We start from the raw sequence: 19,289 nt of genomic DNA on the forward strand, positions 1-19,289 counted from the left end.
CTGATCACTCTTTCAGCCAACAAATGTTGAGTGGGGATCCACCAAGCGTCAGGGCCTCAGTTTACAAGACCCACCATGGGCTCTGCCCCCAGAGGCTCAAAGATTATTAGAAGCATCTTAGAATTATGTGATGTCTAAACTGAGACATGAAAAATAAACAGGGTTCCCTGAGAGGAGAAAGAATGGCAGCAAGTGCTCCAAGCTGGGAGAACAGCCTGTGCAAAGGCCCCAAGGCAGAGAGCTGGCCCTTCTCTAACTACAGCCCAGGAATCTCAGGCTTCACATTCCACCCTAACAGAAAAATACACAGATGTCTTTTTAATGTTAGGTCCCCAAATAATTTTTATTTCAAAACACAGAAATATTCCGTTAAGTCCCTCTAAATTTTTTTTTTCCAACATACAAGGCCCATCACCTTCTCACCTCTCCCCATTGACCACCTTTCCATTTCTGCAGCAGTTTTCCAAGAGCAGTAGCTTCTAATTCCTGAACAGCTCACATGGGCCTCCAGTTGTCGACACACCCTGTCTCCTCTCTGGCTAATGGTGGCCCCAGCTGCCTGTCCACGTCTCCAGAGTAGGCCTGGGCAGGGACAGGGAAGGACATACTTCCTAACCAAAAGAAAAGAGCAAACCGCAGGCCAGGAAGGAAGTAGGAAGTCATCCTGAGCGCAGATCCCTAGATGAGGCCTGAGCACAGCCCCTGATGGCAGGCAGTGGGCAGTCCCTCCCCAGATGGACTAGGGAAGCTGGCACTTAGGAAGAGAAAGATCGTTTGGGGACAGGGAGCAGGATGAAACACATCCCTGGCCCTTCTCAAGGACATGGCTTGTGCTGGGGACATATAAACACTCCTAACCTAAAAGCATTTGGCTCCCTTAGCTGTCTTTGTCCTCACCCCTGCTCCCCACCAAAAACAGACTTCAGGAAGAAAATGAATCAAGTTTTACAAGCTTCCCTATTTACCCAGGGCTACAAATCTATCAGTGGGGAAGCTTTTAAAATGTTCTCTCTCCTAGCACTGTCCCTTCCCTTCTATCTACCACTGCCCCCAACCCCAAACACACACACACACAACCTCTTATGGGTTTCTTTAACCTTGGCTATGGATCCTGAGTCTGAAGGAGGAATTCCAAATTCAGAACATACCCCAGTCCACCATTCATAAATACTTCCTGCTTTTCATTCCACTCCTCTTACTTATTCGTGCTTCTAAACGTGCCCCAGAATCACTCCCTAAGCACAGATACCTTCCTTTCAGCCTCTCATTCTTTCATTCCTGAAATATCTTCTAACATGCTCTGCTTCATTATCTCAAAGCAGTACTGCAGGCTGAGTACAATCCCCATTTTACAGATAAGGACACTGAGGCTCAGAGGTTAATCAACTGGCACAGGTTACACTGTGGATGGGGGCGCTCTTGTGGGGATTAGAACCCAGGCTGCTTAACCTTCAAAAGCTCTCGTTCTCTGCACCTTGGTTCCCCAGTACCCCATATTCATCAGACACAAAAAGTAAAGTCGCTTCCTTTTTCAAAGAAAAATGACCCATTCTGGATCACCCACAGCTTTAAATATTGCATGTTGAAAGCTAAAGGCCATTTTAACTGATGCTTCAAAAAGTATCATGGAAGACTCAGCCCACAAGAAAACCATCCAGAAAGTAGAGACTGTGTTAACATGCAGTGTGGGGTTCAGTGCAGTTCTAGAGGCACAGATGTTTAGGGTGGCTCTCCCTCAAGACAGGGATGCTGCTGTCCAGTGGGCAGTCAGGGGCCTAGGGTTACAGCTTCAACCCCTCGCTCCCCACAGAAGGAGGGGTTTCCTTTGTGCAAGGAAAAGCAAGGGCTGGGTGGCCTTCCTGCAGTGGCCCATGAGCCTATTCTTAGGATTGACATCCTTCAGATACATTTTATCCTTCAGATAAAATGCCCCACGGGCACAGCACCTTATGGAGCGGTCCACATCATCAACTCCCAGGAGCTGGGGAGGATGGGGAGATGGGATGGTCCCTCTGGCCAATGAGGGGATCCACACTGTACTGGGGCCCTTGGCTGGAAGCAGCTCAGGTGTTCTCACCCCCAGTTCCAAGGTTGCTCATATCCCGTATTCCAGTGTCAGCAGGGGAAGCAACGACACAGCATCCGCCAGAAAAACAAAGTGGGAAGAAGGATTTGCCCCATCTTCAAACCCATCTACCCTAATTGTGCTAAATTCTCTGGCTAGCTTCAATCCACAATGTATAAACTGATCCTACTTTTTTTTTTTTTTTTTTTTTAAGAGATGGAGTTTCACTATGTTGTCACAGGCATGATCATAGCTCACTGCAGCCTCCAACTCCTGGGCTCAAGCAATCCTCCTGCCTCTACCTCCTGAGTAGCTGGACTATAGGCGCACACCACCTCACCCAGTTGAACTGGCTCTACTTTCCGATCCCATCTTCCTCCCAAGCAAGAGGCCTCTCTCCTGTCATCCCCAGCTACTTACTACTCAACAGGAGTCCCCTCCTTCTTGCCTGTCAGCACCCACCCCGAGTACATTCTCCCCCTGACCCTCCACACCGGGGCACCTCATTCCCTGCTCTCAGCTTTCCTCAGGCAGTCAGCAAAACTTTTATTCCATGAAGTAAGAACATCCGTTCCATCCGTCTGTCTTCCTGGGATGCCAGTGTATGAGAAGACACTTCATACAACACTGGGTATGATTACTCACACGTGCTAGTGTCCCAAAGCGCCCACTGGGCTTCCTTCGCAGGGGATTCCTCCCTGGATCGTTTACTATTGCTTATAGTTTCCAGGGCACTGGCCAGAAAAAAGCCTGAAGTTGAGAGAATCGGGGAGACCCTTAAAAAGAACTCAATGATTCGACTGCTTAAAGCTGAAATCCAACCTCTCCTTGACAGCAAAAACGAAGCTGCCAAAAACCAAGCCATGCCTCTTCAAGAAAGGAAGGATTTCCAACTAACCCTTTCAACTAAATCCAACGTGGGCTCTTTGCTGAAATCCCTCCTACTCTACAGAAGGGCCTTCTCGGATTATTTTTCTTCAAAAAAACATCATTTACACATTGAGTGTCTTTACTTTCCAAACCATTCAGAATTAGGGAAAGAGGGGAAAAACACGTCTGTTTCTATTTGAAACTGTCAAAATTAGCATTCAGTAATTAAAAATCACACCCTTTCTCTTAATAACCTAACCAGCATGATACAATCAGGTTGTGCCAACTCTTTAATCTAATTGACTAATTACAGATTTTAATTTAGTCAGTTACCGAACAACTGTTGACAATTTGTTTTCATTAGGGACAGAACAGAATAAATATTTAGGCTTCCAGTCACAAAGACTCCTGCGATCGGCTCTCCACCATGACCCCAACTTCAGAGTGAGCTTCAGCTCTATCAATATCCTCAGACACAGGTACCCTTGCTGCACTCGAGTCGCTTCTTAGCAAGGCCCCGAGCCAGAACAAGCCTTCCCAAAAGTCCCTCTTAAGGCAAAAGCCTTACATACAAGCAACGGCCTCCATTCCCAAAGTACAGGCAATTCCCAAATTCACACACGTCACTCAAGAAGTGGCAAACACTTAAATGTTGTGAAGAAAAATAAATTCAACACTACATGTCACTGGCTTTTAAGCAACAAAATAAGTTAACAGTCAAAATAGGTTTATCTGCATTCATCTCACCGAGAAGCAAACTGTCACTGACATTTTTTTTTAAGACACACGTTTACAGGTTTCTACTGAAATGATCCAATTCTTTCAAAGTGCATTTTTCCCCAAGGTCCCCATCTCCCAAAGTCATCCAAAAGTTTGTCAAAGTAGCAGCATGGCTCAAAGGTAGAGTGGGGCTCTGGGTTCAAATCCCAGCTCTACTATCTAATGACTTCATAACAACGGGCTCATGCCTTCACTTCTCTGAGCCCTGGCTTCCTCATCGGAGAAATGAGGTCATAACAGCCCCTATCTTATAGAGTGTTACCGGGATTAAATGCCATGCCCACACACAGTGCCTGGCCTGGGGTAAATGCAGTAAATGGTGGTCACTGCTGTTTCAGAAACTGCTGTTGTATCCCTCACTGTCCCCATGCTACAAATTAGGAAAGAAAGAAATCATCTGTCAAAGGTTACCAAGCTATTAAGTGGGAAAGCTTGGTGGAGAAGGATGATTTCCGGACTCGCTGTCCAGTGATCCATCTGCTGCAGGTAATGCCAGCTCAGAACCGCAGGGAATATGGGACCCCTGCCTTGGGATATATCTGTAAGGAGAGGAGGCTCTGCAGATGGGAGCTGTTCACACAGGCTCTTACACCCTCAGTGTGTCTACCCTCCAAGCTGCACTGCCCTAACAGAGAAGCCTTGCATGCACAGCCAGGAGAGCAGGGGTGGATGGGCCTAAAGAGAGCTCAGCCATCTCCGGAGAGAACTCTGCATTCTAACCTTCCTCAGTCCTGGGGGAAACACGAGGGATGTCCCTCTACAGAGGTCAACCCTGGCCATGCCAGGACAAAGTGAGAAGGCACCACTGCTAGGTGGGTCCTGCCTAAGGATTCTAACCAGGTTTCTGGAAAACTTCACTGGGGGCTCTTGAGGCATTGCTAATATTGTTTAAGTTCTAGAAGAATCGGGTCTGCCTCAATTGAAATGGAACTGAAATTTCCAATGTTTTTCTGTTGACTAGAATTCTGTTCTACCAACCTGGTGTGCTCACGTTGGTTCCCCTGAGCTGATGAGAAAGTCTCATCAGCAGCTATATAGTTCTCATTTTCCACATTTCTTCATTAAAATTAATGGTGACTCAATGCATGCAATCTCTTTGTAAATAAAATATTTTCAAGCCTGGAGTCCACAGGGGGTGGTAGGAGATTTAATAAAAGGGAGCCTTTTGAGTGAAGAGATAGCAAACCTTTTCTTTAAGTCACATAGGTCCCAAAGCCAAGATGTTTTCTTCCTGGACGAGGTCATTAAAAACCAGCCCAATCCCTCTACCCACAGAGAAGCACCGCACCAGTCAGGAACCCTATGAGCCCAGGCCAGGCTTCAGCTGGCTCATCTCCGTCAGGACCCACCTGGTCCTGCCAGCCTCAGCATCAAACCACTCCAGGCTGGGCAGGGGGTCATCAATTAATGAGACAGAAAAGATGCCAAATCTGGGCCAGGCACAGTGGCTTACACCTGTAATCCCAGCACTTTGGGAGGCCGAGGCAGGAGACTGCTTGAGGCCAGGAGTTTGAGACCAGCCTGGGCAACATGGCAAACCCTGTCTCTACCAAAAAAAAATAAAAAAATAAAAAAACAGAAAAGTTAGCTGGGCATGGTGGCACATGCCTGTAGTCCCAGTTACTTGGGAAGGCTGAGCCAGGAGAATCACCTGAGCCTGGGGAAGCTGAGGCTGCAGTGAGCCGAGATCATGCTACTGCACTCCAGCCTGGGCAACACAGCAAGACCCTGTCTCAAAAAAAAAAATTTTTTTTTTTTAAATTAAGAAGACAAACCTATTAAGTCTACCTTGCCCATGACTGAATCCCTCTAAGTGCCTCATTTCCTTCTCTACAAAATAGGAATAACAGAACTTAACTCACAGGGCTGTTTTGAGTATGACAATAGACAAAACCTAAAGCACTTACAACAGTGCCTGGCATACGGTTAGCACTCAATAATTGTTTGCTATTGTTATCAGTTCTTCCGTCACGAAATGGGAGGAATGCCTGTCCCCTACATTGTCCAACAGGGAGATACCTAAGAATGCCTTTTAAGGGTCTGAACACATAGTAAGTGCTCAATAAGCACTGGTTTGCTTTGTTAAATAGAAAACTCATTATTACTAAGCCATAATGCTGTCGTTTAGAAATTTATCCCTCACCAAGAACTCACCACCCCAACTCCCAATGGTCAACCTCCCATGAAGACTGTCACTCTCTAAAATCCCAGGGACCCGCGGCAAACATCCTGATTTCCTCCTAGTCTCTTCTCTTCCAGCTCTCTCTGAAGAAGACGCTGCCAGCAAAATAACACCAAAGAAAGTATGTGGCGACAGTCAACTAGATTTAAGTTCATTTTCTGTAGCTTGGGGTCAGAATCGACTGAAGCACTCTGATGATCAAGTTTTCTGCAATTCCCTATTCCACGCATTAGCTCGCTGACAGAAATTCACTGCGGTATTTAAAGTGGCAGCCATCACAACTAACTCAAATTGTATTGGCTTCCCCGATGCTGAAATGCTCTGCTGAAACCATCAATTGGCCAATTCGGAGATAACGTGGTGGCTGAAATTCCCTGTCATGCTGTAAAATCCCCTTTTGAAGCGGCTCACCAGCGCGGAGATCGTGGAGAGCCCTGCCCGGAGCTGCGGGCCAGGGCCGCCGCCCGTAACACAAGCGGGCTCCGAGTGGGATCTGGCCGGCAGGCGGGCAGCGCTGCCAAGAGGAAGAGCCTCCAGAGAGAGGAGAACATTTTCTACTGGAAGCCGTCTAAAAGCCGGCGAGCAGAGACCGGCAGTGCGCACACGCCCGGCACCAGGCCTGCCCACTGGGCCATCTGCCCCCTCAGCACCGGCTGGATGGCCAAAGGCCACAGGAAGCTCTCAGCCTCTCCCAAAGAAAGCTGCAAAATTCCTAAAGGATGGCACAGACACAGACACGGGCGCCAGCCTCTTAGGTGGAGGTTTTCTCAAGTCAGTGGTGGCCCCAGGCTTGCTGTGTCACCAGCCTCAGTGTCCCCATCTGGAAACTGAGTGTCTCCTTCTTCTTGCACATCTGAAACAGCCTTCTCAAAGGGGACCACAACTCACAAAGCATTTTCACGTGCTCTCACCCAACTTCCAAAAAGCTGGAGGGGCAGAAAAAAGCCGGCCACTGTTTCCTATCATTTTGCAGACACCAGACAACTTACCCAAGGCCATCTGAAAGAATCAGATCTTGTACCTTGGTCATCCAAGTCCAAATCCCATGTACAGCCCACAACACTGCATCTAATGGCAAAGCCCGGCAGGCAGCGGGCAATAACTGCCCACCAACCATCTGCCATTTCCATCCGGTCTATAAAGCTACGCTCTGCCCCTCTCAGAGCTCAAAGCGCTGCAGCAGTATCCCAGAATGTGGGAGAGGCCTGCTCCCCCCTCTCCACTGCCTCCTCTCTCAAACAGCCTTTTGTGACTGGGAAAGAAGGATCAGAGGAAAACCTCAGGCAGCGGCCCCAGGGAGCAGTTGTGCTTCTTAAGGTCAGAGGACTGTGAAACAGAAGTGAAATGTCAGGCGCTTCACCCAAACACACAAAGAGCAGGGGACACAAAACCTGCCCTGGAAGCTGTGCAAACAGCTGTCACCAGGAGGGGACAGGGAATTTGGGAGGCTGGGTCAACCTCGGTCAGACAGGATGCCTTACGACCTATTCTCACTACTGCCACTGCCTAAGCCCTGTTCAGACGCAAGCTCCACGGGGGGCAAGGAACCCCCTCCACCCACCCACCTCAATCACAGACAGGCAGAAGGAGCTGCCCCACAGCCAGCCAGCAGGGACAGGCTGCAAACTCCTCCAGCTTTGCCTAGAGAGCCACATGGACTCCGCTATTAAGAAGAGTGTCCCTGCGCTCTCAGGCCCTCTCCTCCCGCGCCCACTCCAGAGTGGTCCAGGCCACAGTCCCACCCCCTCCAATGGGAGCTGTTACTTACTCTGCCTTCAACAAGCATCTGTTGGGATTTTCTGTGTGTTCAATGCACTAAGACTATGGCAGCAAACCACAGAGACAACGGTACCAAGTGCCCGCCAGGCACCACTCTGAAAGCACAACATGTGGTGGGGAAACAATTTCCCGAGAACTCTCTAAGGTATGGATCATTTCCTTCTAGTACAGATCTGGAAACTGAGGCTCAGCAATTGCTTGTCTCTTGACCCAAGTCACTTAACTTGTAGGAACTAAGATTCAGTCTCAGCTGTCTCTGGGCTAGTGGCCTTCTGACTTTGCGTTGAGCCCCCAAAAAAGGCAAATACTACAACACAAACCCAGGGCACACATACTTTTATATGCACACATAAATCACTGAAAACAGACATTTCCAGAAACAATATTTGTGTTTACTCTGTGTAATACGGTTGTTTCTTTTTTGGTAATTACCAGTCATGACCCACTAAGTTGGTTTCATGATGTATTAATGGGTCACAGCTCACAGTTTACAAACAGTGCTTCACCACGTGCCCCTTGTCCATCTTCATTAAAACGAGTACTTAGCACAGTTGATGCCTGGGCAGGAATCAAATCCTTCTCACTTCTCAAGGCTCAGAGCCTTGCTCACAGACCCCAGAATGCATTCAAGACCTGCAATAGGCCCCAGGAATGGGGTGGCAGAAAGGGCAAGTAAAGTTCCTCCCCTCAAGGAGCTTTCATTCCAGAAAGGGGAAGGAAGAGACACAACCTTAACTGAAATAACTCTCCTTCCAGGCAGCTGGTAACAAACGACTAGGAGAGTTACAGAGTTAGTTCCTGGGGAAAAAACAGAAGAGGGATGTCTTCCCATAGGAGTCGTCCTGGCAGGCCTGGTGGAGGCAGCCACATTCCAGGCTAGCATTGGCTCTACAGAAGAATAATTGGCAGGGGAGGAAAAAACCCTCTCAGGTGGTATGGTACCAAGCGGGAATCATGGTGAAGAGGCCAAAGTGGCTGGAGAAAGCACCTGTTCCAGATTCCTAGAAAATGAGAAGTCACTAGGAGAGAAGAAAATGGACAGTGATGGGGCAACTTCAGGCCAGGCACAGGCCAGAAGCATCTGTGCGTCCACTGTTTTCTCATCCTCACAAGCACCAGGGCTGGTTTGGAAGCGGCATATGTGACTTGCTCCTCCAATCACTGGGGCAGGGAGAACATAATGTGACTTGCCCCCACAATCCCCCAGGGGTACCTGAAACCCAGGGATCCAGAGAGCTGATCAACAGGGAAGCTAGCCCATGATGGTTCACGCTTCACAGGCACACACCTCTCACCCCAACGTCATTCTGCTGGCCCCTTATTATCAATCACTGAGAACACTGCCCATCAGGAAGCCAGAACTCAGACCAGGCCGGAGGTGAGGTAAGAAAAATGACAGCACAGGCCGGGTGTAGTGGCTCACACCTATAATCCCAGCACTTTGAGAGGCCCTGACAGTAGAATCCTTTGAAGCCAGAAATTCAAGACCAGCCTAGGCAACAAAGCAAGACCACGTCTCTACAAAACATTAAAAATAAAATTAAAAAAGAAAAATGACAGCACACATTTATGCAGAACTTGCACTGTGCTAGGCACTATTATATATTGTGTGTATATGTGTAAACTTAATCTTTATGACCTTATAAAGGCATACTTTATTTTTTTATTTTTTTGAGACTGAGTCTCGCTCTATTGCCTAGGCTGGAGTGCAGTGATGCAACCTTGGCTCACTGCAACCTCCACCTCCCGGGTTCAAACTATTCTCCTGCCTCAGCCTCCAGAGTAGCTGGGACTACAGGCGCCCACCACCACGTCTGGCTAATTTTTCTATTCTTAGTAAAGACAGAGTTTCATCATGTTGGCCAGGCTGGTTTCTAATTCCTGACCTCAAGTGATTCGCCTGCCTCGGCCTCCCAAAGTGTTGGGATTACAGGAGTTAGCCACTGCGCCCGGCCTGGTATACTTTATTAACCCCATTTTCCACCCGAGGAAGTTGAGGCTCAGAGGTTACTTAAGGTGTCCATGTTTGCACAGCTCGTAACTGCAACAAGGCAAAGGAAAGAAAGCATCCTGGACTATTGATTAGGCTTGCAGGCAGGTTTGAGTTCTACTGGAAACTTCACGCAGGGCACCTTTCCCTCTGCGCATGTTTCTTTAGCTACTTGAAAGAACACTAGGTGACCTCCAGTTCCATCACCTGCAATCCTGCTATTTATATCTATGATAAATATATATTTCGTTACAACACAGGGGTGGGACTGTTTACCTCCCCCCACTGCCCCCCCAACTCCATACTGACTGTATCTTGGTCTCTTAGAAAAACAAGATCATTCCACACAATTCTTTTTAAGCCCACATCTCATCCTGGACTGCATCTGTCTCTTCAACTAGACAGTAAGCATAGTAGGAGCTTGGTAACCTCAAAATACGGTAGTGTCTTATTCTCCTGGTCTGGGGGCCGACTGATCAAGGCCTCAGGGTCACCCCAGGAAGTCAAAAGAAAAAGAAGCCAATGTGGCCAGAACCAGCTTCCCATGGACCTGCCATGGCTGACACTTCCCTTCTCAAGCTCACTGTCTCCTTAAGACTCCTTTTTTTTTTTTTTTTTTTTTTTTTGAGACGGAGTCTGGCTCTGTCCCCCATGCTGGAGTGCAATGGCGCCATCTCGGCTCACTGCAACCTCCGCCTCCTGGGTTCACACCATTCTCCTGCCTCAGCCTCCCAAGTAGCTGGGACTACAGGCGCCTGCCACTATGCCCAGCTATTTTTTTTGTATTTTTAATAGAGATGGGGTTTCACCATGTTAGCCAGGATGGTCTCGATCTCCTGAACTCGTGATCCGCCAGCCTCGGCCTCCCAAAGTGCTGGGATTACAGGCGTGAGCCACCGCGCCCGGCTAAGACTCCTTTTTTTTTTTTTATTGTATGTGGGAATCGCCTTTGTGGGATTTCCACATACAATAAAAGGGGATTCCCTTATACAATAAAAAAAAATCAGGCACAGTCTGAGCACCTGCCAGGGCAGGATACATACCAAAGAGAACAGTGCAAGACTCCTCATTTCATCCCTGTTAACAATGACACAGGATTTCACAGCACAACCAACTTTCCCTGGACAGCTTTCCATGCCTCTCTCAAGGCCGTCCCCATGGTGGGCTGTGCCAGGACAACCCTTGAGCCTATTTTACAGTAAAGAGATGGACCTTGAGAAATGAAGGCCCCCCACAGCTAACAAGGACATGAAGCTGAAATGCAAATCTAGATTCCTACTGATGCCAAGCTGCATGCCCTCTGGGCCTTACCATTTAGCCATGCAGTGGCCATATGCAGGAGTGGGACAGGACCATTCTGCCCAATACAGATAAGGTGCACAGACATCTCAGAGACGCCATTTATCAGTACCAGTCTGTGACAGGACTGCCAGCTCTGCCCCTTGAGGGGGTGCAGGGGTGAGACATGACAGCAGGGACGGGCGGTGGGGGGGTTTAGAATCAATCCTCCCTGGATATTGACGGATGACTGTACTATATTACTTAACCCTCACAACCACTATGCAAAGGAATCAGCATTCCCCCATTCTACAGATGGGAAAACTGAGGCTCCCGGCCAGGAAATGAGGATCCCTGACGATTTCCAGCCAAGAAATGACAAAGTGGAGACTAGAATTCACATGGGAGTCCAAGCCACCAGTCACAACCCAAATCCTTTAAAATCCAGAGGATTCAAAACCCAGGGAAAGAAATACACAACACAGACACAAACACTGCTAAAACTCACCTTGCCAAGGCTACAAAAAACCCCGTTACCGGCCAGGCGCGGTGGCTCACGCCTGCAATCCCAGCACTTTGGGAGGCTGAGGCAGTCAGATCACAATGTCAGGAGTTCGAGACCAGCCTGGCCAAGATGGCGAAACCCTGTCTCTACTAAAAATACAAAAAATTAGCTGGGTGTGGTGGCACGCGCCTGTAATCCCAGCTACTCAGGAGGCTGAGGCAGGAGAATCACTTGAACCCGGGAGGCGGAGGCTGCAGTGAGCCAAGATCGCGCCATGGCACTCCAGCCTGGGTGACAGAGTGAGACTCCATCTCAGAAAAAAAAAAAAAAAAAAAAAAAAAACAACCCCATTACCCCAGCGAATCAAAAACAAACAGTCATGATTGTCTATTTGCTCTAAGAGCTCCCAGCAACATGTATTAAAGAAGTTTATGTGAATAGTCTAATGCACTTGTGCCGTGGTCAGAATTATTACCAAGCTAAAAAAGATTAATTTTTCTAAATACTCTAAACCCTCAGACACTATTATAAAGGCTACAGCTAGTGCCACATTTCTGTTATCTTGGCTGACAGATCCCCAAGTACACACACCTCCCTGCCACTTCTCCCTGTTAAGGCTTAAACACACACACACTCACATACAGAGGCAGGGAAGTCATGGGAAGGGGGCCAGGCACCCTTGACTAGGGTTCCCCACTCGAGACCCTGCCTCCCTCACAAAATAGAGACGACCTAAGGAACTGTGGGGAGAGCTGGGTATCTCCCAGCTCCCTCTGAGTGCTGGCTGGCACAGAGCTAACTCTTGGTCCAAGTTTGCAAATGCTTAGCTAACAAAGATGGCATTATGCGAAAGACTGGTGCACACTGCTGCTCTGGGAGTTCAAATGAAGTGACCACTGCCAAAAATTTTGTTTGGGTCCCCACCACTCCCCCCGCCCCACCTCCCGCCTTGAAATAAAGGGCAAGGATTTGCAATTTGGGGTCTTGCCGCCACTTGAAACCCATTAAGGTGGCTGCACTGCTCGGGTGCTGGCAAAATGCAACTCCAGTTTCTCATTTAATGTTTAATTAGCTACCGATGGAGGAGTCTGGCAGCCTCTGGGGTTAAGAGGAATTGCAGAAAACAGGGCGGGAGCTTAAAGAGGGGCTGCAACCCAAAGCCTATGCTCCAAGGGGAATGGGGGAGAGGGGAAAAAGAAGTGTGTATGTTTTGTGTTTTTAATCTGCCACACAAGGGTGCCAAGGGTCAGAGCCAAAGGCAACGCCGTGAACTTGCCAGGACCTCTGGGCAGATAGCTAGCCTGGCTTATCACAGGGCAGCACACTCCCCCAGCTCTTTGCAGCCCAGCTGCAGGCCTTCTCCACCTATTCCAGCCTGCACTGCCACCCTCTTGTCCCCCTCCCCCGAAAGGGTTCTGGCAGGCATGGACACTCCCTGCCTGGCAGGAACCTCAGCTCAGCACATCCAAGGAGAGCCCTCTCAAATATCACTTTGCTATTTCAAACCCACCAAGGACGCTGGACCCCTGCCACACAGCCACAAATACCTCAGTGCCTGCCCACGCCCATGACTCTGGGGCACTTTCCTACTTTAACCAACCCTCCTCAAGGCAAAGTCTCCCCTCTGCTGAGGGAGGAGTCAGCAGTCTTGTTGGGGTGGGAGAGCAGAGTCTTGCTGGAGTGGGAGGACAGGGCCAGGGAGCCAGCCTCACTGAGGTGGAGCACACAACAGCCAAGATGAAAGGGAACTCAGGTCTTCAGAGAAAGGAAACTGAGGCAAGCAAGGAAAATTCATCAAGGTCATGGAACTCCATGTCCATTTCACTCCCCAAGTTCTTCACTGGGAATCAGAGAGGCCTGGGGTTGGAGCAGCTGTCCATGAGCCTCCTGAAACCATGCACAAAGTCCCCTTTATGAGGGCTTTCTGGAAATACTGTCCATAGCTTTTATCACATTTTCCCTGCCAAAAGTTAAGAGCCGTTGCACCACAACAAACCCCCTTCCCAGAGTTCAGGTCTCGCCTCTGCCAGTGACTCCACAATTCACCTTGCGGGGGCTTCCGTTCAATTCTGTTAAGTTCATTTCTTCAGTGAACATGTCGGGGGGCACCAACCAGCATACCCGGTGCCAGGTATGCTTCAGGTCAACTGCAAATACCTCCCCTCTGTTTTGCAGGGATTCTTTATCAAGTAAGTGTCAATAAAAGCTGAGAGGCAGAACTAGAAAGATAGAGGATTTCTAGTCTCAGCTCTGCCAACACCTGGCTGCCTGCCCTTGGACAAGCCACCTAAACTCTAGGGTTCAGTTTCCTCATCTGTAAAATGGGAGTGAGATTTTGTAACAAAACCCAACCGACGAGGCAGCTGCAAAGCCCAGCCACAATCACACACATGAAAACATGTTATAAAAAAGTACAGCAGGTATGTGTAGTGTAAGAATCCATTGCTATTCTCTAGTCTCTTTGGCTCAAAGGCCACTCATTTCTTGGCCTTCCAAATTCCACTCATTTCTTGACATCAAAAGGAAAACACAAAATTAGCTACCACATGGAGAAAAAGGATTGCTTGTTGTTTGAGAAGGCACCAAAGACACTTCCCTGCAGGTCCACCCTGGAGAAAGTCAAAGCGGAGAAGGTGGCCAGGACACCTCTGGGCACACAGTTAGAGACACTCATGCAGCTGAAAGTGTCCACTCTACAAAAGGTCAGGACCCAGACAACAGTGTCTAAGAGAACCCAAAGAGATGCCCCAATGGGATCCCATGGGCTTTTGTCAACACTCTGAGATGCACTGCTCTGGCCTGAGGGTAACAGCAAGGAAATTACAATGGGACCGTGACCCTCCTCCCGTGACCCTCCTCCCATGACCCGGGGGACCTCTTCTGATTTAATGCAAACCAATTTATCAGAAAAGTCCACTCCAGATGTGAGTTCCCCCAATGCTCCCGTTGCCCCTGTAAGCACTTCCTACCCACCGAAGATGGGTCTGGTATCCAGGCTGCACAAACTCCCCACACCCTGAGAATCTTTGGATCTCCTTGATAGAAAACAGAAGGTCAGTCAACAGACACTTATTTACACTCTACTTGATTTTCTAAAAAGTAGTTAAGGCAACTAGTTAATTGACTTCAAAATCACCTTGTTCGAGAGCACCCGCAACAATTATGTCTCTAAAAGAACACCATTCAAGACTCACTCACCCGCAAGTGACTTACTCATTCTTACCTAACTCCTTCATACAATCAGCACGTGTGCCTGCTACATGGAAGGTACTGTGGGAGCTACAGAGATGAATAGTTCACGGTCTCCACCATGGAAAAAATTAATAGGCTGTCGCCCGAAAGACAACCCTAAGTGAGAAGTTAGGTGGAATAGTGCCAACAAATGGTACTTGCCATGGGCCTGCAGGGCCAAGCCAGGTGGTGTTAGAAACACCCATTCCAGAGTCAGTCATGACTCCATGTGTGTGCATTCTAACTACCACTTCCCAGCTGGGAATTAACCACTGTGTGCCTCAGCTGCTTCATCTGCAAAATGGAGTGAACAACAAGCCTTCTCTCATCGGGTCTCTGGCAGGATATGAGGGACTGAACCTACAGCAGTTAGCAGAGTGGCCTGGCACACGGAAAGCTGCCAACAGAGGCTTTGTATAGGTGGTTTTTATAGATATGGAGATGAAGGCGTGATCACAGAATGCAGAAAACTATCTCATAAGTCCTCCAAGAAGGAGGTCTTAAAAGATGAATAGGATTTGAATGGGTAAGAGAGGAATGCATTCCAGGCAAGAGGAAGGAGTCAGCAAGAAGCTACTGCAATCATTCTAGCAAGAAGGAATGAAGGTTAACTAGACTGTAGCCACAAGAAGGGAGAGACTAGATGAAGACTGGAGAAAGACAAAAAGAAAAGTGGGCTCCTTTTCCTAATTTTCTGAAGTTCTTCTTAGTTTTCCACTTGCTTCTCTGCTGTCACCCCTCCAACTCAATGCTACCCCTTAACGCCTTCATAATCCCCATTCATCACTCCATCCCTCCTCCCACAGGCTCTGACTCTCAGGCCACATGATACCAGGTGGAGCCCAATTCAAAAAAAAAGGTTTTTACACCCCACACATATGAAGTGTAGGCCTCAATTAGGGTGACCTCATCTCTTAGTAGCATCTTCTAAATGTCAACGCCAACCTCAGTGATCTCTATACATTTCTACTGCCATTCCTCAGCAAATTACTGAAAGCAAACCCATGTGCAAACTTTCATGGCCGCCATATTGTTTCAGGATGGAAGACGACACCACAAGTTGCCAAAGACTCTCAAATTTGTAGAGCACCGAACTTGGTTAAAATCATTAACTTCTCTGAAAGGTACAGGCAAAAAATAGCATAGATATGCTACATCAAGAGAGTGAAAGACCCACCCACCCATCCCCAGATTCTAAAATGAAACTATTTACATAGCAGTCAAAAACTAGCAACAGTGTTGGCTGTTCACAGGTTTAGGAAAAAAACCATGCAAGATTTTTACTAGGTAGAAAGGTCAAATTCATCAACTATTTTTATATGGCTGTGTACCTCTTAGCCTCCCTGAACATCCAGGTCAGGAAACCTTATCATCACCATGGGATTTTCCCAGAAGAACCACATCATAAGTGAACCGGTGGTGACCTCTCCCTTTCACTACCATGCAAGTTTACCAGACCAGAAGTACCATTCATCAGCTTCTCTTTTTCAGCCCTGAAGAGGGAACAAGAACTGCTCAATTTCCTCAGCGTTACATTCCAAGAGCATTAACTTTTCATTCACAACAAAACTGCATCACATTGAATATTCTCAAAACCAGTAGGCCACCACCTGAGTCTCTAACTCCTCACATTACAGGAGAAATTTTCACCATGAAGACATTGGTGATCATGGGATTTGACCACTTGTGAAATAACCAGATGGGTCTGGTCTCTTAGCCAATTTCCACCTCCACATGCAGGGAACTCAGATGGCTGGGCCAAGCAGGTGGGACCCAATGACGTTCAAGAAACCAACTCCCAAGGACCCATGGTTTCCCAGGATCATTCCTACCCACTGCACACAGAAGAGCAAGACCATTAGATCACCTGCTATATGGACATGCTTAACTGTCTACAGGGCTAGCAAGAAGAACTGAACAGAGGCTATGGAAGACCTTCAGACACGTCCTCTTCCATCTCCCCAAGACAGATCCTAACCCATTTCATCAGATCATCAAGTGTGACTGCAACCCAGGTTTGAAACCCATGTTTGTTTTTCCTGAAGGGGACTGCTATGGGAGATGAATAGATGGCAGACAACCCTCTCGTAATAATTTCATAAATCTTAAGAAACTCATCCAGGTAGAAAGTGAGTAACAGGGTAGAAAGAACTACAATCTGATGTTAACTAGCTTCACAAGAATATTTTGGCCACAAGATTATGAACTAGCTGAGGATCTCAGAGTACAAATCGTCTTAGCAGATACAGTATGAGCCCACCCACACCAAACACACACACACACACACACACACACCCATAATTTGAAAGATCGCTCTCTGGAAAGTAGAGCAAGAGAGTCCATTCCACCAAATTCTCACTCAACTCCAAAACGCAAGTTTCCTATTGGCTTTTGTTTGTTACAATTTCTTCTTAAACCAACACTAAAGAGGCTTAGTCCCCTCTCAGCTAACTGTCCACTCTTAACATAAGTCTCACAGTTCTGAGTCCTGTACAACACCATTTAATTCTCCGGATAGATATCTACACAATTTTGCACAATTACAACATTATGAAACACCGTTCACCAAGTTAGAACACTGCTGGAGAAAGGTACCATTGGGAGGGCTGCAGAGAGGTGGGCAGGGGAACAGAAAGAAACGCAAGAAGCAAATAAAGACCACTGCGAACTGGCTGTGTTTGCTTTTCGTACTAGAGAAGTTAGAGCTATCCAACCCTATAATTATTGCTAGGATTAAAAATATGTTACTCACATAATCATGAAAGGCTTTTGCTTCACTTGAATGTTCACAAGTGTCTCTCCTTTCAGGAGCTGCACAGTAAAGGTCCCAAAATACACTGCGAGGAGGAAAATAAAATAAGGTCAGGTTACTAATTATTACTTGTGTACACAAGGGCAAGTGCACGATGCATGGCGCTAACAGTACTAGGTCTCCCAAAGGCTCAATCCCACCTTATCAGCTCTCATTGGGCAAACAGCCTAGAAAACAAAACACGTCCAACTTCTTCTGGCAAGCCAGCCATTAGTAATGGCAGTAATAGTTCTTATATATCAAATACCTACTACATGCCGGATGCTTCACACCCGTATTACTTGTGTCTACCATATACTGTAAGGTAGGCAATTTTCTCTCCACTTTACACAGGGGGCAACTGAAGCTCCAAGGGGTTAGTAGAACCTACTCATGGATGCCCTAGGAGGATGAACGCAAATGTGGACGAGAATCCATACTGTTCTAATCTGTTTCCTTTTTACCACCCAAACCAAAATGGCTGCATATCCTAAAAAAGGTTCAAGTGCCAAAGTCAGAACACAACTATGATTCATATATGCCGCGATTTGGAAGACTCTGGCAATAGGAACTTTACAGGCTCTTAATCCCAGAGCCCGCACCTCCACCCTTCCCACCTCACCCCCACTCCCACCCAAGCCCTCCCTCAAGGAATTCTTATGCAAGAACCACTCCTCCCTCCATGCACCAAAAAACACAAATCAGTTAGGCAAAGGACAGGTCATGGACAACCAAGTATCCAGTCCTTTCACATTGCAGTAGAGGGCCCTCTTCACAGAAGCACCTGTCAGCAAAGGGAAAGAAGGAAGCAGGCCTAGAAATGCCTGCCTCACCCCCCACTAAAGATTTTGTATGGTCACTCCGACATTCTGTATTAAAATGAGAACAGACATACAAGTCCTATGTCAACCAATAAAGCCCTATTCAAACACGGAGTTGTCAGTGATATTAACAAGGGACCTAAGAAACTCTCCAAATCAGGAGCCCGAGGCCCAGGGACAGAACAAGCTTAAAGGGTAAAGTGGGCACCAAAACCAAAGTCCTACTCCTGGTCCACTGCTCTTGTCCTCGTCACAAACAGCCAGCTCTGCAAGTCATCAGACAAGCATCTCACTCAAGGTGTGAATAATGCAGCCTGCCCCTCACCAGACAAGCTCCACTGCTTCCTCCCGCTGGAGAAAGCCTGGGTCATTTGCTCAGTGTCAAATCGCACAAACCAACTTCTACCAAACAGGGCCACAGCCACTCAAAGCCACCACCGCCCGGGCCTAACACAACAGACTCTACGTTCCTGCGGCTGAGATAAGGATGGAGAAGTTTCAGGAGATTCTGGATATAACAGGAAAATCAGGACTTCTACTAGCTGCAGAGGGGGGCTGGAGAACATTCCTTTCTGTCTTCTGGAACTGTACACATCTGCTTACCTCCTCCACACGTTAAAGGTTTCTAACACTACAAATTCCCCGGCCCCTTCACTCATAAGCCTAAGTAACCTTCAATCATAAACCTAAGTTTCTACAAGATCCAAGCCGATCAGAGCCGCCAACCCCATCCACACACTCCCTCCAAAAACAGCCACAGAAAGCCTATCACCCACTCCTACAGGTGGAATCCTTCCGCCACACAAATGCCTCCAAGACCGGCAGTTCCGAGGTTGGCAGAAGTAATTAAAAACTCATTTTCTCTGCACAAGTTAGAACAGACACTTCATCCTCCTGCTGTTCTAAGAGACTTAAAACAGTAACCTGAGCTGGCAGATAAACCCGCTAAGATCCCAACGACAGGAGACAGGACACACCGTTTTGCTGAACTCCATCA

General features: G+C 47.8%; 1 protein-coding gene across 13 annotated transcripts in view, besides 2 other annotated features; it reads right to left on the reverse strand.

The window, feature by feature from the left end:
* Positions 1 to 19,289, reverse strand: part of SSBP3 (single stranded DNA binding protein 3) — a 188,059-nt gene that overhangs the window by 158,997 nt on the left and 9,773 nt on the right. For 12 of the 13 annotated variants that reach the window (NM_001394366.1, NM_001394364.1, NM_001394367.1 and 9 more), the window contains one exon: positions 17,433 to 17,517. The exons of the other annotated variant lie outside the window; for it this stretch is intronic. Coding sequence is in view for 7 of the 12 variants with exons in the window: in NM_001394361.1 (NP_001381290.1) it covers positions 17,433 to 17,517 (85 nt within the window). In the remaining 5 variants the exon portion in view is untranslated. The remainder of the gene's footprint in view (positions 1 to 17,432; positions 17,518 to 19,289) is intronic. 13 annotated transcript variants of the gene reach the window in all.
* Positions 7,022 to 7,543: an enhancer, noted in NCBI's record as "H3K4me1 hESC enhancer chr1:54857123-54857644 (GRCh37/hg19 assembly coordinates)". NCBI's record gives its function as "activates a minimal SCP1, AML or CMV promoter by ChIP-STARR-seq in naive and primed H9 embryonic stem cells {active_cell/tissue: H9 hESC(naive and primed)}" and the evidence as "EXISTENCE:reporter gene assay evidence [ECO:0000049][PMID:30033119]".
* Positions 7,544 to 8,063: an enhancer, noted in NCBI's record as "H3K4me1 hESC enhancer chr1:54857645-54858164 (GRCh37/hg19 assembly coordinates)". NCBI's record gives its function as "activates a minimal SCP1, AML or CMV promoter by ChIP-STARR-seq in naive and primed H9 embryonic stem cells {active_cell/tissue: H9 hESC(naive and primed)}" and the evidence as "EXISTENCE:reporter gene assay evidence [ECO:0000049][PMID:30033119]".

The sequence above is a fragment of the Homo sapiens genome, chromosome 1 (genome assembly GCF_000001405.40).
Source record: "Homo sapiens chromosome 1, GRCh38.p14 Primary Assembly".
Classification (NCBI taxonomy): Eukaryota; Metazoa; Chordata; class Mammalia; order Primates; family Hominidae; genus Homo; species Homo sapiens.